General features: G+C 35.5%; 1 protein-coding gene and 1 long non-coding RNA gene across 21 annotated transcripts in view; one reads left to right on the top strand and one right to left on the bottom strand.

Moving 5' to 3' along the window:
* Positions 1-26,879, bottom strand: part of ADAM28 (ADAM metallopeptidase domain 28) — a 64,946-nt gene that overhangs the window by 16,987 nt on the left and 21,080 nt on the right. For 15 of the 20 annotated variants that reach the window (XM_005273380.5, XM_017012974.3, XM_011544368.4 and 12 more), the window contains 10 exons: positions 21,721-21,792; positions 20,739-20,810; positions 18,025-18,194; positions 15,393-15,474; positions 11,913-12,043; positions 10,701-10,878; positions 9,279-9,368; positions 6,387-6,582; positions 2,460-2,562; positions 271-430 (listed from right to left, as the gene is read on the bottom strand). In XM_005273380.5, coding sequence (XP_005273437.1) covers positions 271-430; positions 2,460-2,562; positions 6,387-6,582; positions 9,279-9,368; positions 10,701-10,878; positions 11,913-12,043; positions 15,393-15,474; positions 18,025-18,194; positions 20,739-20,810; positions 21,721-21,792 — 1,254 coding nt within the window. Of the gene's footprint in view, positions 1-270; positions 431-2,459; positions 2,563-5,928; positions 6,583-9,278; positions 9,369-10,700; positions 10,879-11,912; positions 12,044-15,392; positions 15,475-16,938; positions 17,054-18,024; positions 18,195-19,366; positions 19,415-20,579; positions 20,714-20,738; positions 20,811-21,720; positions 21,793-26,879 lie in introns of those variants that run through there. The other 5 variants (NR_130709.2, NM_021777.5, NR_130710.2 and 2 more) reach the window with 4 other exon arrangements.
* ADAM7-AS1 (ADAM7, ADAMDEC1 and ADAM28 antisense RNA 1) overlaps positions 1-26,879 on the top strand; it is a 252,805-nt gene that overhangs the window by 206,591 nt on the left and 19,335 nt on the right. The window lies entirely within an intron of this gene.

The raw sequence follows: 26,879 nt of genomic DNA, 5'->3' as shown, positions 1-26,879 counted from the left end.
TTCTTGAAATAATGACTATGAGAGTCAATTATTTCCAAATTTCACCACAGTGTTTGAGAATGTTAATGTCAGTGCTTATTCCTGCTATTTACTAGGTTCTGCGCCATTTTCATTTCTGTGTTCCAAATTCAAACTCTGTGGGTTCTATTAAGGCATGGCGAACCCCAAAATCGGGAAACAAGGCACATAGTGAATAACCGAGGGGCAAAACAACAAAGCACACCAAAGTAAAAAACACTATTTTGAGTGAAAGCCACAATTTCAACTTACCTTGTTATCGCCACACTTAGTTCCATTGGCCACCATGCCTATTTCTTGACTTGTGTCTTCAGGATCAAATGTTTTACATGTCAGGAAAGTCACTATCCGTCCTTTCCAGGGCAAATTATCCGACCCACCTTGACAGAACAACTTCCCACACATGGTATCACTGAGGAAAAAGCCAAAATGTATTGCAGGATTCAAATTGCAGTTTTACATAAATGCTCTAGGACTATGGATATTTAACTGATGGTATTTTTCCCTGTAGCCGAGACTCTTAGTTGTACTTTACACTCATTTTCCCTTATTTCTCAGTAATAGGATGCCTGAACGTTAGCACAATATATTATTGCTCAAATAAACAGTATTACCTAGATCCCTGTACACCTAATTTTTGCCAGTTGCCGAAGTGCTGGCCCATGAGAAGAAAACAGAATCTTAAGCACAAATTCTAGAAGGTGGCCTTAAATGAGGAATTATCTTCTATTTCTCAACATTTTCTCATTTTTTGCTGATTGGAGTATGATAGCTAGAGAAGCTATCATAGGCCTAGAGAAACACATGGAAATGAAAGTCATGTGGATGATGGAGCTAGAGGATAAAACATGGATTCCTAACATCATGGAGGCATCTGAGACATCAATTTCTAGCTTGTTTCAGATAGGTTACTCATTTATTTGTACAACTGGCTGCAGAATAATTCCACCAAAAGAAAGCCCAAGTCTCCACTATAATGCTGTCAGAACAAAGCTGAGCCTCCCTTGACACTGCAAGGCATCAGGTGGAGTTACTAAAAGAACTGTCTCCCTGAAGGTGCAGATTAAACTGCTCAACACTCACTCAAGCCATTCATTTACTGCCAACAGGACTAAAAGACAATAAAATGGAAGTCAATTGCTTTATGTAGAATTCGGAAGAGGGCTGTGAAAAAAGTATCCAGAAAGTGATGGCATCAGATTTTTTGATCTCTCTTGGCTGTAGAAAATATGTTTGAGGAGTGGAGAAAGGCATATATTCTCTCAAAATATGAGAGTGTGTTTTTCTTGAATCACTTAGGTAAAGCGATAAAGGATGGTTTAGGGCACAGGGAATTTCAGGCTAACTCTTCACTATAGCCAATGACTACTGAGAAGTGACTAGGAGGGTAGTTTGTGGGGTGAAGGAGCTGCTTGAGCCACTAGAGCACAGAAACTAATGCTCATGCAAAGAGTTATATGGGACACTGTTGTGTGCACAGACTGCAAAGGAAAGATGGCGAGACCCACTCTCTTCCCATTCACCACCTACAATTGCCCTTCCTCTGGCCCTCACATACTGCCTTTTACATAATTTCCTCTTTTGAATCTGCCCTGGTTTCCTATAAAGAAGAGACCACAAGACCACCGAAAATGATTGTTCTTTAGGCACAGATTCTCCCAAGAGATAACCCTATATCCAAAGTATAGTTTGGTAATACCTGTCATTCAGAGAAATTCGTGTCCAATAGACAAACTTTGGGAAATGTTGATCTTGTGCAACCTCTTGTTATATATTATTTGGTATGTGTAAAATTTAGAGCAGGTACAAAGAGTTTAATCTATAATTGGATTTTAAAACTCATCTCAAAATTGCAGAATTAAACCATAGAAAAATCCCAAGTTCTTCTGGTGTGCTGTTCTATAGTGTTTTCCCGGATATCAGTACTAAAACTAACAAACTCTTCAGATGAATTGTCAATATTTTCATATTGTATTTTTTCTTTATGTAATTCTACTGAAAGTTTAAAAAACTGTTCAAGCACTGCATCTGTTATTCCTCTGGGTAGATAAATATTTCTACTCTGAATCTTACAAGGAAAAACATGAGATTGAGAAAGCATCTGATTTATACTGGGAAATCCCTGGACAAATTTCTAACCAGACCCATTCTTTGTGGCATGTTCCATCACAACCATTCATTCTACCCAACAATGACTGTGCTTTGTGTCATCTGAAGCACCCACCATGAGATACTTGAAGAAAGAAGCCATTTCTTATTTGTTGTTTTAGACTCGGTACCTAGCCCACATCATGGCACATAGTAGTTACTCAATAAATGTTTGTCAAATGATTGATGACCAAATGCACTTTCCCTTTAACTGGAATAAATCAGAATGTGTAGCTGGAAGTGTACCATTGCTCTAGTCTGTGAAGCAGGAAGGTTCAGACAAGGCCACTTACTTTGCTTTGCAGGGAATGAGTGTGTCATCCACTCTGCGACAGTACCCGTACTTTGACCCACCTTCATTCCTGTTGTAACATGACTTATCTGCAACCTCAGTTCCTGGGACCAGGATCAGTCAGCAGGGAAAAGAAAATAGATTTTTGAGATTCAAGAGATACTTGAAAATAAAAGATTTTAAAGATTCAGTGCTGGAAAGCGATTTATAAAATATAAAACAAGCAAGAAAAATACTATTTTAGCATAATTCCATTGACCACTCCTAGAAACATAGGCTGTAGTAATTTGGTATCAAATGAGCTGGCTGGAATTACAAATAATCTTTTAAATAATCTGTTACTCTGTAACAAACTCCTACTATGTGCTAGGTACAAAAATAGGCATCACATATTTCATGTCTCAGGTAATCTTCCTCAGATCTCCATCAGACAAAACACATTGTTAAGAGCCCAGGCTTCAAGCAAGACTGAGTAACTGTGTGAACATGGGCAAGTGTCTTAACCCCTCAGTTTTCTCATCTGTAAAATAAGGATATATAATTTATATTTATGTGAACATATATATTTAATATTTACACATATATAAAAGTATATATATACACATTATATATGACAGTACCTACCTCAAAGAGCTGTTTTGAAGATTAAATTACTTAATATAGGTGAGCCACTGAGAACAGTGCCTGGTCAGCAGTACATGGTTGACAAATACTAGCCATTCTTATTGCCATTCTCAATTTATTAATAAGGAAACAGAATCCTATCAAGTCACAGAGAAAGACCTATGTTCCTTCTCTGTGCTGAGGTACCCTCTCTTCAAGAACAAGTAATTCTGTCTTAAACGTTTGGAAATTTTGAGTCTAGCCTTTGACAAACAGCAAGCTAAGTTAAAATAAACACCTATGAAGATACGGCATTGTTTTTAAGAAATACTTTTAAACGAATTTCATGTTTCAATGTGTAAGATAAAATGAGTTTTGTTACTTTTTATTATTTGTATCTTAGTAAAATGTATTCATGTTTTATTATAATACAATATCTACATGGAAGAAAAGAATCATTAGTCATGAATAATCAGGGAAAAGCATGATATTCCTAATCTACATGGAAGAAAAGAATCATTAGTCATGAATAATCAGGGAGAAGCATGATATTCCTAATCTGAGACTTCAGAGTTATTGCTGCTGATATTGCAGAAGGTATCATTCATATATCTGGCATCATGCTGTTTTATAACTTCTTGCCAATTAACAATATAGCTGTCCTTTCCCCAGGCATTAAATTTTCTAAAGCATCACAGCTGCAAAAATTGTATTGAATTAATGCACTTTATTTAACTAATCCATATATTTTGGATTTTGAGATGTTTTTCAGTTATCCACTATCATTAAAAAATGCTGGTTGAAAAATCCTCATAATTATTTGAGTACAATTGCTAGGAGAAGGAGTAAAAAACAATTATTTTTAGATTTTGTGTATGCATTTTTCTGTCCGTAAAGATGATGCTAACTTGTGTATTTACCAGCAGTGTACGAAGGGAGTTGTTTGGTTATGTTTTCTGTGACACTGAACATTAACATCTGTAGCAAACTTTTGCCAATTAGCAAATGTAGAAGATTAACTTGTTTTCATTCAGGTTTTGTATATTGCTAATGAGTTAAAATGATTTTAATTTTACAGGACATTTGTATTTCTTCTTTATGACAAATTGCCTGCTTATGCCTTAGCCACATTTTCAATACTTGGAATTAGAATTGATTTGTGGGAATGATTTGATGCCAAAAAGAATGATTTTTAAATTACTTACAAAGTTGCAAGACTTTTCAAACTTCCCAGATTAATTTAAAATAAATACGTGATCCTCTGTGAATTATAAAATTTGGAATTTTGTTTAGGCAAATTGTTTTCTCTGGCCTTTTATAATGGCTGTATTTAAATGTATGACTTAAGAGGTCTACTCCATTTCCTGATCAGATAAATATGTTCAATGTTAATTCAATAGACAATTTTGAGCTTTTTACTAAAGCCAGACACTGTGCTGGGAGGCACTGGGAATACAACTGTGAACAATGTAGACAATGTCCCTGTTCCAGGAAGTTTACAGATTTGCCGAGGAGACTAATCATAAAGTCGGACAAAGGAGGGAGGAGGGTAACAGTTAATATTGTTTGCAGTTAATATTTACTACAAGATAATAAAGGTGATGCTCAGAACTTCACCTCTGTGCTAAAGATTTTCTTTCTCCTGGTTTTTGCCGTATACTGAAGTTAGCCAAGGAAACATGAGCTTCTTAACCAACAATCAATTTTGTTTCCACCTTTAACCTGGCGCATCCACGAAGTGGAGGCAAGATTGCTGAGGCCTGGTTCCAGGATACTAGTGAGCTTGCTGACATACTAAGGGAATTGAGCTTTGCTCCTCAAATTGTGTCTCAACCCGCTGTAGCCAAAGACAGAGAAGTTTACAGGGAGGTTTTTCTAGGGTCTTGTCTATTTGTTTCCCAGGTTTCTTGTTTTCACAGTGCATTGCAAGTTAGGAATTTTTGTTGATTTTCTCAATCTTGTTTTAGCTCTGTTTTCAGGAATTATGAAAAGTTTCTGGCACGCAATGACCCCTTTCAAATAATAGGACTATGTAGATTTTCTCTATTTTAATAAATATTGTTTCAGTCATTTAAGTAGGAGTCTGAAACTATTAGGAAGGGAGTATGGCAATTAAATACATGTACATCATACACATCATATCCAGAAAGTCCAAATAACTGGTTTTTAAAAACTTGCCTTTTTTTTTCAACTTAAATTTTGTATCCTCTGACCAACATCTCCCCACCTCCTCCCTGTCACACCCTGGAAACCAGCATTGTACTTTCTGCTTCTATGCGTTCAACTTTTTTAGATTTTAGGTATATAAGCTAGATCACTTATGATCTAAAATTGACTTTCTAATAAAGTTATTTTTCTTTTTTTTTCTTTTTTTTTTTTTTTTTTTGGAGACGGAGTCTGGCTTTGTCACCCAGGCTGGAGTGCAGTGGCACGATCTCTGCTGACGGCAAGCTCCGCCTCCTGGGTTCAGGCCCTTCTCCTGCCTCAGCCTCCCGAGTAGCTGGGACAGGCGCCCACTAGCACGCCCGGCTAATTTTTTGTATTTTTAGTAGAGACGGGGTTTCACCGTGTTAGCCAGGATGGTCTTGATCTCCTGACCTCGTGATCCGCCCGCCTCAGCCTCCCAAAGTGCTGGGATTACAGGTGTGAGCCACCGCACCTGGCCAAAGTTATTTAATACTATACAAATTGCTGTTTAAATTTTCGGATATCTCTTTAAACTTTTATTTTTCAAGTTTTCTTGGTGAAATTAGAGAATATGGTCTCTAAAATTTTGGCATTATGGACAAAGCGACCATTTAAGAACTTTCACTTTTCTTTATTGGCTTTCTGCATTTCCAGAGTTCTTTTCTTTTTTCCATCTTTTCTTATTTCTGTCCCATCCCACAGTACTTCTGCCACCCCTGCACACACACACACACACACACCCGCACACACACAGATTTCCAAGGGTTTATGATCTTAGTAGGGTTGCCAGATGAAAAGAAAAAGACACCCAGTTTAATTTGAATTTCAGATACACAAATAATTTTAGTATGAGCACACCTCAAATATTGCATGGGATATACTGATGCTGAGACAAAAAACAAAAAATTAACAAAAAACTTGTTAATTTTAAGTTAAAATTTAACGGGGCCATCCTTATTTTTACTTGCTAAATCTAGCAACCCTAAAACCAACCTCAAATCTTAAAACCTTTCCATGATTTTGAGTTCAAAGCTTCTAAGAAGGATAGGACAGAATGGTCCTTTGACCATGGTTAAACACTGTCATCTGAAATGATTTTCCTTCGCACATGCACAGGGGAAAGGATTTGTCCTCCTACCTGGTCCCCACAGCTCTGTGCACTGCTCCTGCAGTGTGGGGCATGTCCCCATCAAGCAGTGGCCCTTCCCGTGATGGCAAGGGAAGCCATTGACTTGGAATCTATCATCAGGACAATTACCAGATTTACCATTACACATTTCAGGCAGGTCGCACTCATCTTTTGCTGGTCTGCACACCATCCCAGCCTTTTTAAACTGTAGAAAAACAAAAATAGAAGGCTTTTTATTCTCCCTACCTGCTTTACCCTAATACCTCAAATTAACACAAATATTTTCCATTTGGACTTTTTGGGCATAGTAGTTGGAGGTGTCATTTCACTGAAGCTTACATTGTCATAAATTAAAGCCATGATCTGTTATATCACTTCTATTAATATTGGTTAATGCCCTAAGTTTTTAAGCAATATTTCTGAATTTGTATCAAAAACACCAAAGAAACATAATGTAGAAAAGTACAGGACGAAAAAAAAAAAACAGGCAACAACTTAGATAAAAAGAAGGGAGTTATTTCTCCTTTTGTTGGATGCATCTCTGTCAGGAACTCCAAGGAGATTTAAATCTGCAACTTCAGAGATTTACTGGTGAATTGGATCTTCGGTATTCAAGGAGATAAGCTTACAAGCACCAGATCAGCAGACTCGGACTTTCCCAGGCCTCGAGTTTCCTAATCCTTAATCCCTTTTATTGTAGGTTCAGCTATTTCCTTTCAACTCACTTCTTCCATAGAATGACTTATCATGAGGGAGAAATAAGCAAATATTCACTTGATATACTAACTCAGTTGTAATCAATTACTGCAAATCTTACTCTTATTTGCTCAGAGAAACTTTAGTGAAACAAATTCTGCCATTCCTGCAAAACTGAGAAAGTATGTTTGTTTGTTTGTTTTCCTTCCTAACAGGAGCAGGTATGTTTTCAATGCGTCAAATAACTTTAAATATCTTAATACCAGTGACGGGATCAAATCCAAATTTCCATGCAAGCATGTGAGATCCTACAAATTCAACCCAAAGCTCCAGTCAGAGAATTCCTTACCACATACCAGACAAACCATGCTTGTATCTTCTCTTATGTCTTTGCTGTTTCTGTGCCCTCATTTGGAAATTCTTTTATGTCTAAATCTCTTCTGTCTAAAATCTTTTTTCAAGTCCAGTTGAAAGCCCATTTTCCCACCAAGTCTCCTCTGACACCTTTAATGCAAATTGCTGCTCCTGCTTTCTTCATGTGCTTGGGAAGAGCCTCGAATTCATATTTAGATGACAGGAATTTGAATCTCGGCTTTGCATGTGTCTGAGTGCTGAACTTTAGAAAATGGATTTAATCTCTCTGAAAATCCCTGTCCCCATCCAACATCTACTTTACAAGGCCATTGTGAAAATCAAGTGAGACTGTACGTAAAAAGCTTAATATATCATTATGCTATCTACAAGGCCATTGAATCACACATTATATTTTCATATGTTTCATATATGTATATCATTGCTCTAAATAGTAAGAAACTGGATACTTTTTTACCTACCATAATCTCTAACAAATAGCATTTACTAAACACTCTTTGAGTACTGCTTAAGTTCTCAAATTTACTTCCTTTTGGACTTCTTTCTTTCCTCTCTCTCTGACATTAAAAACAAAATAACACCAAACATTCCCTATAAAACCTGGTATGCCATGTGCACATTCATGCTGCAGTTACAGATCATTTAAAATGTATGAAATTCTGTGCTAGGTGAAAGTGAATCTGTCTTCTGGCCTTAGGAGTCAATCTGAGTATGGAAACAAACCCTCACAATATAGAACGATATGCAACAACAGAAAGTTAAATACTAAACTTGAAGGACAATTCAGAAAAGCACCACAGAGAACATGAAATGGCATATTTAGAAGAATTTCACCCTGAAGTGGCTTCAAAGATTGAAGATGGGGATACCCCCACACTACTCAGAATAAAACCTCTTCCACCACACACATTGTTAAAGGGAGATACAATCAGTTTTGTGAGATTCGACCTGAGAAAGCCATGGAGCATGAGAAACAGCAGCAGGTAGGAGTAACCAGCTTTGGCTTTGGAGATGATCACACTTGGGGTTATCCTACTCAACAGTGGCCATGTTTATTTTTACATTTTTTTGTTGCCTGTATTTAAGGTGCACATGATTTAATATGCATATATACAGTGAAATGCTTACTACATATGTACACCTATGTGCCCACAAAAATTAAAAATAAAACAATTTTAGAAAGAAATGATTACTACAGTCAAACAAATTGATGTATCGGTCTCTTACATAGGTGTTGGTGTGGGTGTGTGTGTGGTGAGAACACTTAAAATCTACTCTCTTAGCAAATTATTAACATACAATACGGTCACATTGTACCTGTACCTATAGTCATGTTGTACATTAGATCTTTAACCTTACTCATGCTACATAACTGTAACTTGTCCCTTTTGACCATCATCTCCCCATTTTCCGAGCCTCCTTGCCCTTGGTAAACACCATTCTACTCTGTTTGCGTGTATTCAACGTTTTTGGATTCCACATACAAGTGAGATCAGTATGCAGTGTTTGTCTTTCTATGCTGGCTTATTTCAGTTGGCATAATGTTCTCAGGTGTATCCAGGCTGTAGCAAATAGTGGCCATATTATTTTGTTCATTTTCTACTCTGCATTTTTTTCTCAAAAACAAAATGAAATAATATCTACTGTGAAGGATCACTGGAAGATTCAATAGGCCATGTGTGTAGAACACTGAGTAAGTGCTTCATAAATAGTAAATATATCATTTTATATAAAGAAAAATATTGCATTGCTTATTTCAGTTAACATAATCACTGAGATGTTAATGTATAAAAATGTAATCATAATTATTAAAATAGAATAAAATAATCTTACTTGGCATTTTTCACAACATTCTCCTAATGCACATTGAAAAGTTGCTTTGATTTTACATGTCTTAGCATCACAGCAAATATTGGTACATTCCTAAGAAATATGAGAAACAAATGTAAATGCAACATTACTTTTTGGTCCCAGTTCAGCACAATTTGTAACATACTATATTCATCAGGCATATGTTACTTTCGTGGAGTCTAAATAGGACTTTTTCAAAAAATATAAAAAAAATTAGAAAACCTGAAATTTTGGAGCAACTGATGGTTTGTTGTTTATCTGAATTCCACTTACGTCATTTTTCTATTAACTAGTTTCCTCAGTCTCCAATAATATTAAGGAAAGATCTATTCTTTTTGGTAAAATATGAAGAAAAAACACAGTTCTTGAAATAAGATTTGTCTAATTATAGAATATAATTCCTTCAACTCATCAGTTATGTACATATCTAGCAGTAAATCCAATTTCTAGGATATCCACTGAAAAGCTAAAGATACAGCTCTTTATCTAACTTTAATATTTAATTCAACTGTGCTTGAAGCAAATACTTTGTCTTAGTCTCTCTGCTTTGTGTCAGAATCCTGCCTGCAAAAGGTATTGGAGAAACTCTTACCTCAAAAGTGTTCCCCTGCAGCTGTCTAGATTCCCATAGAAGACTGAGAGTTTCAGGGTTACAATATTTTAGGGTTAAAACTCTAGCCCTTAGTTCAAATATAATCATCAACCAGGACAGACTACTTTTTCTCATAGAGCAAATAAATACATAATCAAATATATAATCATATTTCAAAGTTACTGAAAGCCAGTACTCTGAAGGCTTGATGCATTATTTATATTAAGCATCAATAACATGGAAGCAGAGGTCCCATTCAAAATCCCAGCTGCCCTGTGAAGAGGGTCAGGACAGAACTTCTGATGGTAATAACTCCCGAGTCCCAAAGCAGTAAGGGATGAACCAGATCCCTGTGCTGGGTGGTCTTGCGTTTCAGAGCTGGAAACAGATACATTTGAATCCAGTTCTTGGCTCCTCCATTTGCCAGCCCAGTGACCTTGAACCAGCAAGCTATTTGTACTCTGGGCACTCATAGTGCTCTGTCTAAAGTAATACTGGGTAAGTCATAGTCACGTAAGGAGCTTCAAGTATTTCACTTAGAAAGGGAGGGACGAGGACACAAGGCCCAAGTTAGTAAATAGTCCTTAAAAAAAGGAATGAGGTTGGAAACCTGGGGGAGAAATTAGCAAGGTCTGTTCAGAAGTGCAGGGTTCCTTGTCAGAAAGATTTTCCTGGAAAATACCTACAAATGGGCGTACCCAAAATTACCCAAAAAACCTATAATGTTATAGCGGGCCACACATTATTTTGTAGTTGATCTTCTTAGCAACTGAAAAACCAACTAGATCGTTTTAGAAAGTGATTGGCCATACCTCAGATGTCCCACAATCACAGTCCTCTCCCATTTCCACCAACTGGTTCCCACAAATTGGAGTGGATATGATATCTGTAGGCAATGGAGCATTAAAGAGGCAATTTGATAATTTATCTTCAAAAAACTTGTCATAGCTGAGACGGCTGCAGGAACTGAAGTCTGTGGGTATATAGAAGCTGTGAAGATAAGGAAAGAAAAACTGGAATATAGTCATGCTTAACATGTGCGAAGCAGTATCTGACATTAGGCACAATTACACCCACGGCCTGCCCCAAAAGACAAAATCCAATCCACTGACCAACTGCCAGATCGTGAGCTCATTTGCATGCCCGAATTAACCCACCTCCAACTTCATGAGAAAATATAGTCATATTTCAATGTGTAGCATCCAGGCCACTTTTAATAAAACAAATATGTCTCTGACTTCTCCAGATAATCTTAGATCATCTGGGAGATGTAAAGACCTAAAGGTACCAAAATATTTATTTACATGTCTCAGAATTCACTTTCCTTTAGAGGAATTCCTATTGATAGGATCTCTTCATCCTACAGATAAAGATGAGGTTTAAAACTGCTGTAATAGAGGGGAGAGTTAACATAAGCTCTGTAACTGGCATGCAGCCATATGCTGTTTTGTACAGGGGCTTTGGAGAATAACCCTAGCTTCAGTGGGCTGAGGGAGGAAATGAAAATAGAAAAGAGGAAATAGAGTTTATAGAGTGAGCTGTATGTATAGAAAAGAGGACATGAATATTTAAAAAAGATTGTGAGATTTTTAAAGATAAGATTGCCTAAAAATTTTGCCTAATTCAGGGAGGGAATGTGTGATGTCTTTTCATAGACTGTCTTCTTTGTCCTATGAGTAGTTTCTTCTTTAATTAGAGTTTTATTCTAGAACTCTTTTCTGACCACCATCTATGCTGAATTCATGGAAAACCTGATAAATGCTAACGATTTTTCTGAAGCCAGGTCTTGTATAGATAAGATGAGGATAAAATGATGAATTGCCCCATCAGCAAAGAGACAATATGTTTAAATTATGTCTTAGTTATTAAAAAATATTACCCATAGATGAGGTGGCTTGGCACAAATGCACATTTAGTGACTCAAAAACTCGAACACGTTGTTGAAGATGACCTAAAGTAGTACAGCCCACAGTGGATCAAAACCAGGGCTACATAGCATGTCCCCAGGGCCCAGAGAGCCTCACCTCAGTGCTTTGTCCATCACACATATTGTAGAAGGACACTTGCAAGAATAGTCGTCATGAAACATTCCAAAGTTGTGGCCCATTTCATGTGCCATTGTCCCTGCAACTCTAAGAAGATTATCGCTGTGGTCCTAAAGGTATGAAAGAAGAAAAAGATTCTCTGATTTTCGAATGAAATTATACATCACTCTACTTGCCATCTCTCTCTCTCTCTCTCTCTCTCTCTCTCACACACACACACACACAAACACACACACACACACACACAGAGCAAGAGAGAGAGAGTACTAAATGGAACTGAATGCCCATCACAGCATATATGGTCTGCCCTTTCCTCTTTGAGTAGGTTCCTATAATGAAGGAAATTGTTCTAGTTTTCTTTCCAAGAAAGATGGCAAATTTTCATCAACAATAAGAAATCAGAACTTTTTTTTAAGTGATCTATCTCCCTTACATTTGGCTTGCCTTTTAGAAGTCTATGATGCATTTGGCCATCAGGGATCTAAAATTGTTCATCAGCCTAGCACTTTAGCTCTACTTGTATCTTTCTCAATTCCATAATTGCCAAGAGTAGACAGACATCAGTCAATTAAAAACTTGCCCATTGCATGAAATCCAGCCTATAGCCAACTTGATCACCAGACTGTTTCTGGTCTGAGGTGCTTGGACTCAACTCCAAGCTTGCAGATAAATTAGAGCTTGCAGCTATAAATTATCCAGGAGCAATAAAACAATGCAGGAGAATCGTTGCAGGTTAAAATGTCCTATTGAGGAGATAAGAATCTGCCAGTAACATCCACCTACAGAAGTCTGATTCTCTTATCTACTTCATCTCAAAGAACTAAATGTAAAGTTTGATGAAGAACAGTACAAGAGTGGCAAACAAGGAACAGCTGTGTAAGTTGGGAAGTTGATACCTAGACACACTATATTCTTTCATTCTTTTGAGATGAACATGGTAAAACCTCCTATATAGAAATATGGAGTGCTCCAAATGGGGAAAAATGCAAGCCAAAAAGCCCCAGAAAAATTAAAATGTGTTTAGAGGCCTATATGAAGTTCCTTTCAGTTTATGGTTTCTTTCTTTAAATAATGGTTTTCCTAACTTGAATGATTTTTGCCCTCGAATGACCTCCATTCTGTCTTGCCCCACTCTAAATCCTACCTACCCTTTGAGGTCCATTTTTTTTTTTTGAGACTGTGTCTCACTCTTGTTGCCCAAACTGGAGTGTAATGGTGCCATCTCTGCTCACTGCAACCTCCGCCTCCTGGGTTCAAGTGATTCTCTTGCCTCAGTAGCTAGAATTACAGGCACCAGCCACTACGTCCAACTAATTTTTTTGTATTTTCAGTAGAGGTAGGGTTTAACCATGTTGGCCAGGCTGGTCTTGAACTCCTGACCTCAGGTGATCCACCTGCCTTGGCCTTCGAAAGTGCTGGGATTACAGGCTGAGGTCCATCTTAATGCAACTTTTCCTGACTATGTTAATATTCATCAACGATCATCTGTTATGAATTCCTAGAATGGTTTTTACTTCCGTAAAGTAGCATTAAGCTACCTACTATATGTTAGAACTATTGCTTTAGGTAGGCCAGTTTCTCTTCCAATTTTATGGCAAGCTATTTCAAGTTTGAAAATATGTATTTTACTTCTTCTGTACATCCATGAAGCCTATCACAAACCCAGACTCAAAAGATAGTAACTAAAAAATATGTTAATTCCATTTCTATCTAGGATGTAGAAAGCTGGAAAGAACATTATTCTTACACTAACAAGGACAAGGCAGGTAGACAACTATAACTTCCCTTGAATCCACCAATAAGTTGGGGTTACAGGACATCCAAAAAGTCTGTGAAAATATATTCAAAATGAAAGTAAGATCGCCTTTCTTAGACAAACAAAACTGAAAGAATTTACTGTATTATAAGGAATGTTTTAAAAAATTCCCTTGAAAGGAAAAAATATATACTAGATAGAAATTAGGATTTTTATAGAGAAGTAAAGAGTGCTGGAAATGCAATGAAGTGATGGTAAATATAAAACTTTTTTAACTTCTATTTTAAGTTCACAGGTACAAGTGCAGGATTGTTACTTACGTAAACTGTGTCATGGGGGTTTGTTGTACAAATGAAAACTAATTTAATTTTAAATTGCAATGAAAGATGGATATCTAAAACAAAATTAATAACAATGTATTGTGTATTTATGGTGATATAAAGTTAAACATATGATAATAATAGCACAATAGATGGGAAGAAAGAGTTAGAGGCATACTCTTAAAAAATCTGTACATTTTTCCCAACACCATTTATTAAATAGAGAATCCTTTCCCCATTGCTTGTTTTTGTCAGGTTTGTCAAAGATCAGATGGTTGTAGATGTGTAGTATTATTTCTGAGGCCTCTGTTCTGTTCCATTGGTCTATATATCTGTTTTGGTCCCAGTACCCTGCTGTTTTGCTTACTGTAGCCTTGTAGTATAGTTTGAAGTCAGGCAGTGTGATGCCTCCAGCTTTGTTCTTTTTTCTTAGGATTGTCTTTGCTATGCAGGCTCTTTTTTGGTTCCATATGAAATTTAAAATAGTTTTTTCCAATTCTGTGAAGAAAGTCAATTGTATGATGGGTATAGCACTGAATCTATAAATTATGTTGGGCAGTATGGCCATTTCCATGATATTGATTCTTCCTATCCATGAGCATGGAATATTTTTCCATTTGTTAGTGTCCTTTCTTACTTCCTTGAGCAGTGGTTTGTAGTTCTCCTTGAAGAGGTCCTTCATATCCCTTGTAAATTGTATTCCTAGGTATTTATTCTGTTTGTAGTAATTGTGAATGGGAGTTCACTCATGATTTGGCTCTCTGTCTGTTATTGGTGTATACGAATGCTTGTGATTTTTGCACATTGACTGTGTATCCTGAGACTGCTGGAGTTGCTTACCAGCTTAAGGATATTTTTGGCTGATACGATGGGGTTTTCTAATTATACAATCATGTCATCTGCAAACAGACACAATTTGACTTCCTCTCTTTCTATTTGAATACGCTTTATTTCTTTCTCTTGCCTGATTGCCCTGGCCAGAACTTCCAATACTATGTTAAATAGGAGTGGTGAGAAAGGGCATCCTTGTCTTGTGCTGTCTTTCAAAAGGAATGCTTCTAGCTTTTGCCCATTAAGTATGATATTGGCTGTCAGTTTATCATAAATAGCTATTATTTTGAGATATGTTCCTTCAATACCTAGTTTATTGAGAGTTTGTAGCTAAAAACTTCATGCTAAACAATATATTAAAAAGATAATGCATTATCAATATGTTGAGTTTACACTGGAATGCAAAATTAGTTCAACATTTGAAATTCAATCAGTGTTATTTACCATGTCAACAGACTACAGAGAAAAACTATCATGATCTTCTCTATAGATTTTTTAAAAAGCATTTGATAAATGTAAATCATAGAACCAACAGTTTATCATCATACAGACCTGAACAACGCCAACAGAATAAGGAGAACACATTGTAGACATAAATGCAAGACCCACAGTCGTTCCAGCAAGTTCTGTTGCTCTGCAAGAAAGGAATAAATTGATGTAACAAATTATAATGCTAAGCTCTATTTTTATAGACAATACATCCAAAACCCTAAATGGTTAGCAGAAAAACTCACTGTGAACCATCACTGTCATATTTTTCTTTAGTTTTTGAATTTGCATAAGGCATTTTTCTATAGAATGGCTTTTGTGTTACTTAAAATCCAAACACCTAGATAGAATTATGTTGAATATTTTCTATCATTTCTGATTATAACACTTTTCATTGTGAGATGTATCCCTTGTGAAGAAAAAGAAAGGCTATTTTTGGTCTTAATAAACATCTGTCTACATGTATCTTGTTTTGATATTAGCAGTACCACACAGGCTTTGTTTTTATTTATATCTTACTCATATTTTTATATCACATACTTTTGTTTTACATTAGCATTGTTTTAGCTACAGTAGGTTTAGGGATTGGGCCCATTTTGAAAGCATTTGTATTAGTGATCATTTATATTATTCAAATAAGTTTTATACTGGAGAGGGGTTTGAATCATTTGCACTTATACTTCCATAGATAATATGTTTTGTCTTTGGTAATTTTAATTTTGCTTTTTTGGTTCCTTTTGATTTTTCTATAAACCTTCAATAATTTCATACTCTTTCCTTTTAGTTTTTGTTTTTTGGTTTTTTTTTTTTTTTTTTTTTTTTTTTTTGCTATCTGTACAAGATCCTGGCCCTTAATTGTCTCTAGAAATTTGCCAAATTGCATCAAGTTTTTAATTTCCTTAGTAGATGCACTTACGTGGGAAATTGAACCTGTATTTTACCATAAAACAATACTAAAAATAGAGAGTTTTAATTCTGCTGTATAAAATGAGAAAATTAGAAAACGTTCCAATTTTTCATTCCCTGCAGATTTTATCTATTTAATCTGATTTCAGATATTTATTTTGAAAATATATTTTACATTATGCATACTTAAAAGGTTTATGATACCTGTTCTCTTTTAAAATTATATCACAAAGTTATTTATACTTCATTCTACATTTTTGTGGTTTCAGTTCTCCCCACTTGCTCATTTGCAAAAAATAACATTTCGTTCATTTTGGAGTTATATATTTTGGTTTATCTTTTAAGTAAACAGTATATTCGGACTCTAATTTTTTTAACCTACTTATACCTAAGTATAGGTCTCTTTTGTTAACTTGTTTGGTAAATGGTAAGACATTAATTGCATAACTGGAAGAACAACTATTTCCTTTCATCGTATCTTTATTCTGATCTCTTCAAGGAATCTATTCTTGACATTGTATCGTCATTTATTTTTACCTATACATTTATCATCTCGTCTATTATTTTTAAGCTTCTACGTTATTACTTACAGTGATGGAGTATTCAGCAATTTGTCTGGCTCCCTTATTACTTACCAGCTATGAGACCTTAGAAAACCACTAAACTCCTCCACAAAGAATGGGCTCTCGAGTCTAAAACTCACCTTTCCAAATTAAGAAATTGTGTCGGCTGCTTCCCAAAGGTGACCCCCTCAATGAACCAGCCTTGCAGTATTCTCAGCCTGAGTAGTGCCTTCCCCTTGAATCTGGACTGGCCCTACAACTTCCCCTTGATTAAGATAATATACCAGTAGTGACACCCTGTGACTTTTGTAGTTAGGTCATAAAAAACCTTGATGCATTATCTCATGCCTCTTGAAATGCTTATTCTGAGAAAAGCTAGACACCTAGTAAGAAGTCCACCTACTCTAAGATAGCCATATTGAAGGAAACTCAAGTTAGGCACATGAAAGGGGATATAGACAGAAACATGACCAACCAGACTCACTGTTCCAGCCAGATGAGCCCACACACCAATTATGTAAGTGAAGAAGCCTTATTTCAAGCCCAGAAATTCAAGCTCATTTGTTATGCAGTTAACAGATGACCAGCACAGAAACATTAACTAATTCTGGCAGGACATAGTTCACTGATTTCCATGAAATTCATGGTTTTCTTAGGTAATAGCCTCTCCAGTAACTTCAAGTCAATCCTTACTGCTTCCTTCTATCTGATTTCAACTAAATATTATCCATCTACCCAGCAGCATTTTCTTGAATGTTTTGAGGCACATGCTCCAGTCTCATATAATTTACAGCCATCAGATTTATTTCCCCTGTTGTTCTTAACAGGTCATTTCAGTGGGAAATAAATTAGTGAAGATGTGGAGTTAGAATATAATACTTAATTTTTCTAATAATATCTTAGATGTTTCTTCTAACTTGAGCCTAAAGCCAATCAGTTGTTTTTTTAAACACTGAATCAAAAACTCTCTTTCCATTATATAAACTTGTCTTTTCTTCTTGTATACCCAATAAAAACAAACATTTTATAAATTATTGCCAAATTATTGACCCTCTCTTTTTTTAAAAAAAATACTTGGATCCAAAATAAGAGCATATTTGACATATAATCCAAGTAAGTGCTCTATAAATGTCTACCCCTCTATGTGCACCCCTCACTTTGCCAAGGCTCAGAAAAGCATCCACTAAATACCACATAGTGTGCAATGGGAGAAAATCTGTACATACGTGATTAACTGAGCAATATCATGACGCTTTCTTCTTGAGAGAACACTCCCCCTCCATTTAGAAAAATTCTCCAAGGTGAAGCTTGCATTTGGGGTTATCTTTATCTTATCCTTGTCAGTCCAGATTTCCATACCAACTAAGGCCACATGAGTATTGAGCTTTTTATAAAGCTGTCCAAAGAAAATAAATGGCAAAGCAATTAATTATAATGGTGATATCATTTTAAACATTTTCAATATATTTTGTATTTTTAAACATTCATCACAGCAGTATAAAAACCTTATTTCCAAGCATATTTGTGAAACAGAATGTATTGACTATTTTGTAGACACTAAAACTCCCATTCAAAACAAAAGATAAATACACTAAGATAGTTTAGGTCCGTAAACTTCTTTTTTGGGTGGGGGGTGGTAGGGAGGAGAAAAGGCCCTGTTAAGACAACATATTCCTGTTTATGCTCTTAAGAAATACTATAATTTTGTGTCAGTGGCCCATTACTATGGCTTCAATTGCTTATATGTTTTTCAGTGCTCTCAGAGTGAGAATATTTCAGAATTAGCAAAGTTGGCTTGGTGCTGGTTTAGGCATGAAAGAAGTAACTTGATATGATGAAATGTTGTACATTGATGCATTTACAATAAGCTAAGTAGTCGCTATAGTTTGAATGTTTGTGTCCCCCAAAATTCATGTGTTGAAATCCTAACTCCCAAGGTGGTGGTGTTAGGAGGTGGGGCCTTTGGGAGGTGATTAGGTCACGAGAGTGGAGCCCTCATGAATGAGATTAGTGCCCTTAAAGAGATCCCCAGAGAATTGCTTTGTTCTTTCTACCATATAAAGGCACAGTGAGAAGGCAGCTGTCTCCAAGCCAGGAAGACAATCTTCACCAGAAACCAAATCTTGATGGAACTTGATTTGGACTTCCAAGCCCCCAGAACTGTGAGCAATAAATTGCTGTCATTTATGAGCCACCCATATTATGTATTTTCAGAATGAGACAATGGTCCTCTAATCTTAAACATGGATTGAACCAAATAATCCACAATGCATATAGGATAAACTTTAGAAATAATGACTTAAACTTATGAAACAATATGCTTACTCTAAAGATAAAAGCTTAAATTACTACTATAGTTTCTAAAAGTGCACAGTGACAGACATTCTCACCAGCAACTTTCTGCTAAGAAACTTAAATATTTCTTTTAAAAAAAAGGTAGTTTGGAAAACAGGAAAAGCATTAAGGAATGCAGTTACTGAAAGTGAAGTTAAAATCCAGCCATGTTATCATCCTTCACTGGATTATTTCCTCAACTTCCTTGTTCCTTTCTTGCTTAATTTTACTCACCTGACAAAACTCCAATCCTGGTTAAAAGCAACTTGCCTCTACATCTCTCTTCCTTCTGCCCTTGAACACAGGGGAAAACACATTGTTCTGATTGCTCTCACTTTAAAGCTGTGACTAAGCTCAAGCAGTCCTTAACGCGTTCCAGCAAAACTGCTGTATTTCCAAATTCCATTCACACGCAGTTTTCTGCACACATTTTTTATGCTCCTCTTCTTAGTAATTCTAACATTTCCTTTGAATCCGACTTTCACAACTGTCCTTGCTTCCACATTCGCTGAGACTATAAGAGCAATCTGAAGAGAACGTCCACAAGCTCCCACCATTGGCTTATCGCCTCACCTAGTCTTGTCCAAACACCTTGCGCCTCCCCATCTGCTATATAAATGAACAATCTCTGAGTCTAAGGCCAGTTTCTCCACTCATGCACTAAATCTCTTATTTCTCCCCCAATCAAGATTATTCCAATAATTCTTCTGTCTTTCCTGCATTATCAATGTTTAGCCCTCCACAAATAATTCCCATCAGCATAAAAAGGAAATGTATTATTTTTTTATTTCATATATATTGACTGTGGTAATCACTTCACTATGTATATGCATATCAAAAGAAGTATATTACAGCATTATGTTGTACAACAACAAAAAATTATCTTTAGAGCATTTATAGGATACCACAAAGAGACTCATTCATTTCAAAATAAGTATGCCAACTATATATCCAACAAACAGAAAACTAAGAAGTAGTATTTAAAGACTGTAAAACCATTTTTTAAATATTTTGGAAATTAGATAACACAATCATGTCTAAAGAACATAGTCAATAGTTGCATGACTCAAATGGGTTTGGAAATCTGACAAATCTGTATTCAAACCCCATGGCTATTCTTTTCTCACTTTGTGATCTTGGGTAAGTTCTTTGTTTCTGAGAATATGATTCCTTAGCTATGCATTAGGCTTTAGTAACATTTAGCGTTGTTCTGGGTATTACATGAGATTTTATGAAATATGCTACTGTGACAGTGCTTGGTATGTTTAAAATTATTTTTTTCCCCTCTGGACCAGCTTTCTGTTGGGATTTGGTCTTCAGCATTTTCTTAGCGGATTTTTGGAAAATACAATGCACCCATGTAGCTTTTATGTCTTCTTATACCTGAGAATACTGTGGCAGGTAAATAAGAAAAGTGTTGGTTTGTGGTATTAATATTCATGTTCACCTATGTAGCAAAAGTTGTGGTCATCCTTTGGGAGCCAGTCAGCCACATTGGTCTCAAATGTCTTGACTTTGCTTCCATGCTTCATGTGCGTTCATTGAAAAACCCAGTGACATCTCCCAGCAAACTGTTTAAAACTGCAGGTAATAAAATATGTCTTACCATGTTGACATAATTAGCCATCTCAAATACCCTCTTTCTGATCTCATCTTGATTCTCATTGTACCTTTTAAACTAAAAGAAAAATTAAGAAAGAATATGGGCATTGATAAAAATGAATATACTTGGAAGGTTAAAAAGGCATCTTCTCTTATATTACTTATTATTGATTTTAATTAAAGATTAGTTATTAGATTTAATTAAAAGTTAGAATCAAATTAATTCCTATTCATCTAGCTACATTAAAGCACTTTGGGAGTGAATATGATGTTTTCTCTTCTGAAGTACTAGCTCAGTATAAAGCTCTAAAGAATTACTCCAAATGTATTTTCACTTAAATTCTATGGTTTTCTAAGGTGTGCAGAATTAACAGAAGGAATATCTTATTAATTTAAGAGACACATACATGAACAGTACATGAATTAAGCACAGTAAGTAAGACCAAAGCTTTAGGGCCTGAGCTAATGGTTGACTTATATTTTCATACACATGTGCATTTTAAATTTTGAAAACACAGTATATGAAAATGCATTCTTACAGTAGAAGATAAACAGTGACTATTACCAAAGATTTGCCTTTTCAGAGGATTCCATTCACTAAGCTTTCATTGTGACCAATTAAGCTTTTGTATTGACTCCCTAATGAGAATAAAGTTTAATTTACAAATGATTTAACAACTTAACAAAAGACAAAATGACAGAAGAATGTAATTGGAAACTAAGTTGGGTACTCTTAAGTCAATAAGAAAATAGTGTTATAAGTGCCAACAATTTATGCATATCATATCAATTGCCCTGATCGCTCTGAAAAGAAGTCATATCAGCTTAATTATAAATGTCAAATTTCATAGTTTTAGAAGAACATGTAACCATAGCTCATATTCATGATTCTTTAAATCTCATCCAGATATTTAATGTCTCACATAATAAATAAATATATGTGGGTGGGAGTTTTGGAAGACAGCACATTTATCTCATATAATTACCTCACCATTATCCAGGACCAAATAATATTCTATGTATTTCTCATGTTCCTGAACCTTCCTGTCTTTCAATTTCTGAAATATAAAGAGTAGAATTACTGATACAATATTGTTTTCTGCAAAAGTTCTTCTATTATTTGACATCTGTAATTTTATAAGCAGTTGGTTGATATCTGGAGTAAAGGCAGACAATATTAGCATTTTAACACCAATTCAACCGACAGGATTATCTACTGACAAGGCTCATAAATTTGGAGGTGAAGGGACACCAGCAATATTCTGGTCTGATTCCTTCCTTTTATCAAGGGGTCTAAATTATGTTACAATAGGGGAGCTAGAAATAAAACCAGTCTTTCTATTGTTTTGAACAGTAGACTTCTTCACCATCCTGACACAAAATAGAGAAAGTTTGACTTCAGCATCCTCCTAGTGTTTTTAGTCAGTTTGTTTTTTTGTTTTCTTTGGTAGCCTTTAATTCATATCCTGGTGAAATACATGCTCCGTTATCAATGGTGCAATGCAGAGACACCATTGTTTCTAGTCTACTTTGTTCTCTTCAGGCAGAGTTGAATCTCCTTCCCATGTTTCAAACTTACCAATGTTCTGTTCCTTTCTCTATCTCAAAAAAAAAAAAAGTTACATAGTGGATTGACTCATTGAAAAGGGACCAACAGATTATTCCTACTAAATAATAGCTCATCAAAGTTTATTAGATTGCATTTCTGGAAGTGCATGTCTTTTAATAGGTAACTAAAGTTCGATTACAAAGAAGAAACTCCTGAAGATAGATTTTTAGGTATTATCTGATGAGACATGTACTTACTTCCTACCCTCCATGGGAACGAAATATTTATTAGCACTTACAATACACTGAGAGTGCTCTGGGAACTGCAAATGCAGTAGTGAAATCACCATGTGAGCTCCATCAGCAGAGAGACCAAGAGACAAACATAAACATATCAGATGGTGGCCAGTACTATGTGAAGGATTAAAGTGGGCATGTGACATTGAGTTACTAGGTAGTTATTTCAGAATAGGTGAAATTCTCTAAAGAGCTGGCCCTCAAGCAGATGTATTAACGAAAATGAGAAGCCAGGCAAGGAAAGAGAAATTGGAAGACAATTCCAGCAGGGAAAAAAAATGAGTAAATAGACTCCAAGGTGAAATAGTATTGGCATATTTAGAGCATAGAAAAAAAGTGCTTGTGTTTTTATAACATAATGGGGGAGGTCACCAAGAGACGGGGAGTAAAGAGTAGGAGGAGACCAGAGAGGTCTATGGGACCACAATCGTATAGGGGTTTGTGACCCATGGTCAGTTGTGTGGCTTTTATACTAAATGCAATGGGAAGACATCGGAGGGCTTTGAGCAGAAAACGGATGTGATGTGATTTACAATAAAAATAGCACTGGATTGATTGTGTGGAGTGTGGATTCTGCTGAACGAGGATGGGCAGGTCAGGCAGAGGCTGTTGCCATGGTTATTATGAGATGGCACCTTGGGGTAGTCAGAAAAGGGAGCAAAGTAAAAGATCTGAAATATGTCGGAGGCACTTGCTGATGGATACCATATAAGGCGGGATGAAGAAAAAGAGAATCAAGGATAATTTCTAGATCCAAATTTGAACAAATGATGAGTGGTGGTAGTGTTAAGTAAAATGGGGAGAATGAGAGAGAAGTAGGTTTTGTTTGTGGTTTAGAAATTGGTAGTTCTTTTGGGGGCATATTTTAGGTTTGTGATATCAGGTGTTTGAGTAGATATATTAAAAAGATAATTATAACAGTCTGGCCTTTAGGAGAGGGGCAGAGGCTAGAGATAAACGTCTGATGGCCATTAGTGCACAGTTCCTATTTAAATAAGGCACAGGGCAGGGTAAGATTACCTAGGAAGAATGTATAGATAAAGATCCAGGATTGAGCTATGTGAGGTTCTCTAATATTTACCAGTCAATCAGAGTAAGGGTGACAGAAATGAAATGAGGAGTAGCACTCCTGAGGTAGAGGAAAGCCAAAACGATAAAATGTCTCAAAAGCAAAGCTCTTTCCACGTAGTTACCAAGGAATGGAAACAGAGGGATAAGAGGCCCTGTACAAGCAAACCCAGGAGTTGATATTCACAGCAACATATAGCTAGGAGTTTCACCAACTTCTGGCCAATCAAAGGTGGCCAACTGTTCAAACCGTGTTCAAGTAAGGCAAACATCAAGCTGTAACCGGTGCAGCTGTTTCTGTACCTTAATCCATTTTTCTGTATGTCATTTTTCTGTCTATAAATCCTCTCCAACCAACGACCAGCATGGAATTGCTCTCAACATCTTCTGGTTCTGAGGGCTGCTGGATTCTCAAACCTTTCTTTGCTCAATTAAACTCTGTTAAATTTGTCTACTTTTTGTCCTTAACAGTCCTCATATTGTACCCTAGATCTTTCAACTGCTTAACCCCGCATATTTGGCTACTTGGTATCCTTAGACCCGAATCTCCCCATTTCCTGTCCCTACCTAGACCCTGGTAACCACTGTTTTATTCTCTACCTCTATATATTTGACACTCACCCTCACCCCCTTTTTTAGATTCCTTTTCATTTTGTTTGTTTGCTTTGCTGTGCAGAAGCTTTTTCGTTTGATATAGTCTCTTACATTTTACTTTTATAACCTTAGCTTTTAGGTATGATATTTAAGAAGTCATTGTCAAGGTTAATGTCAAACAGCTTTTCCCCTCTATTTTCTTTTAGGAGTTTTATGGTTTTAGGTATTACATTTAGGTTTCTTTTTCATTTTGATTTGAATTTTAGTTATGGTATAAGAAAAGGGTTCGATTTCATAATTTTGCATGTGGATATCCAGTTTTCCCAGCACTATTTATTGAAGAGACTATCCTTTCCCCAGTGTGTCTTTTTGGTGCCCTTGTCAAAAATTAATTGAACGTATATGTTTGGATTTATTTCCGAGATTGCTATTCTCATCCACTGGTCTAGGTGTCTGGTTTTATGCCATTATACTCTTTCGATTACTATATCTTTGTAATATAACTTTAAATCAGGTAGTATGATGTCTTTTTTTTTCTCAGAATTCCTTTGACTATTTGGGATATTCTGTGGTTCCATACAAATTTTATGATTTTTTTCTGATTTCTGTAAATACTGTCATTGGGGTTTTTATAAGGACTGCATTGAATCTACTCATTGCTTTAGGTAGTATGAACATTTTAACAACATTCTTCTAATTCATGAGCATGGGATATTCATTTATTTGCATTTTCTTCAATTTCCTTCATTAATGTTTTATTGTCTTCGGTATACAGGTCTTTCACCTCCTTAGTAAAATTTATTCCCAAGTATTATTTATGTTATAAATGGAATGGTGTTCTTGATTTCATTTTTGGCTAGGTTGTTATTCGTGTATAGAAATGTCACAGATTTTGTATGTTGATTTTATATCCTGCAACTTTATTGAACTTATTTGTTAGTGTTAATGGTTTTTCAGTGGAGTCATTAGGGTTTTTTACAGGTAGAATCATTTCATCTGCAAATAGAGGTAATTTTACTTCTTCATTTCCAAGTTGAATGTGTCTTTTCTAAATGCTTTTGATAGTACTTCTGGTACATGTTTAATAGAAGTGGTAAGAGTAGGCATCCTTGCCTGGTACCAGAAGAATGGCTATTTCTGCTTTCCGATTGATTATGATGTTATCAGCGGCTTTCCATAAATGGCTTTTAATTTAAAAAATAAATAAGGAGAAAGAAGAGTGGGCAGGTAAACCTTAATGCTTGGGCTGAGACATATTTTAGAGTTTCACATCATTCCAGCTTCAAATAAAATAATGCAACAGTGTTCTTAAATTTTCATTATTGTTTAATCATCAACAACTGCATTGCACACTATCAACATTTGTGTGGTTGCTGAAAGCCTATGATTATGTCCATTCAACCACACCTTTCTTATCAAAACTCGAATTCCAACTAAGCCAAGGATAAAAGTTATATATTAAATGAATTTCAGTAGAAGGCCCACATATTTGAGCAAGCACTTACTTTTATGAAGAAAGAAGAATATAAGAATGACAAAATCTCTGAAATGTAACTGGCATGTAAAAAACTTTATTTGGTTTTGGAAAAACATGTTCCTAGCTGCTATAGAATGTTTACAAATATCCTAAATCAAGATAATTTGTAGCATTTTATGAGAATAAAATAAGGTATATTTGACTGCTAAAAAATATAAATAAATAAATAAATAAATAAATAAATAAATGGCCTTTATGATGTTGAGGAACTTTTCTTCTATGCCTAAACTCTCAAATCAAGAACCATTAACTCCACACCATTATTTAACTACCTAAACTTTTAATCAAGAAAGCATGTTAAACTTTGTTTAATGCCTTTTCACCAATTGATATGATCATGTATTTTTTGTCTTTCAGTCTGTTGATATAATTGATATACTACATTGATCAATTTGTGTAGGTTAAGTCAGTATACCAAGGATAAGTCCCATTTGATTATGATGTATAATCTTTTGGATGTGTTGTTGAATTTGATTTGCTAATATTTTATTGAAAATTTTTACCTCAGTGTTTGTCAGAATTATTGGCCTGTAGTTTTCCTTTCTTTGGCGTCTTTGTCTTGGGTTAGGTATAAAGGTAATGCTGGGCTTGTAACAAGTACTAAGCAGTACACCTTCTGTCTCTATTTTTTTGAAAATTTTAAAAAGTATTGGTAATAATTCTTCTTTGAATGTTTGATACTTTTCAGCTCTAGAGCCATCTAGTCCTAGGCTTTCTTTGTTGAAAGATTTTTAATTACTATTTCAATCTCTTTGTTATTGGTCTGTTCAGGCTTTCTACTTCTTTCTGATTCAACCTTTATAGGTTGTATTTTTCTAGGAATTCATCTATTTTCTCTAGGCTATCAAATTTATTGACAAATAATTTTTCATATTAGTCCTTTAAGATCTTTTTTTCATTTCTGAGACATCTTTTGTAATATCTCCACTTTCATTTCTGATTTTATATATTTGAGTTTTCCTCTTAGTCTGCCTAAGAGTTTGTCTATTTTGTTACCATTTGCATGGAATATGTTCTTCCATCTTTTTCTTTCAGCCTATGCATGTCTTTAAAGCTTAAAAATGTCTCTTGGAGGCAGCATATAGTCAGATCTTGTTTTTT

Source organism: Homo sapiens, chromosome 8 (genome assembly GCF_000001405.40).
Source record: "Homo sapiens chromosome 8, GRCh38.p14 Primary Assembly".
Classification (NCBI taxonomy): Eukaryota; Metazoa; Chordata; class Mammalia; order Primates; family Hominidae; genus Homo; species Homo sapiens.
The sequence above is the reverse complement of the archived record's forward strand: the minus strand, read 5'-3'. Positions and strand labels throughout refer to the sequence as shown.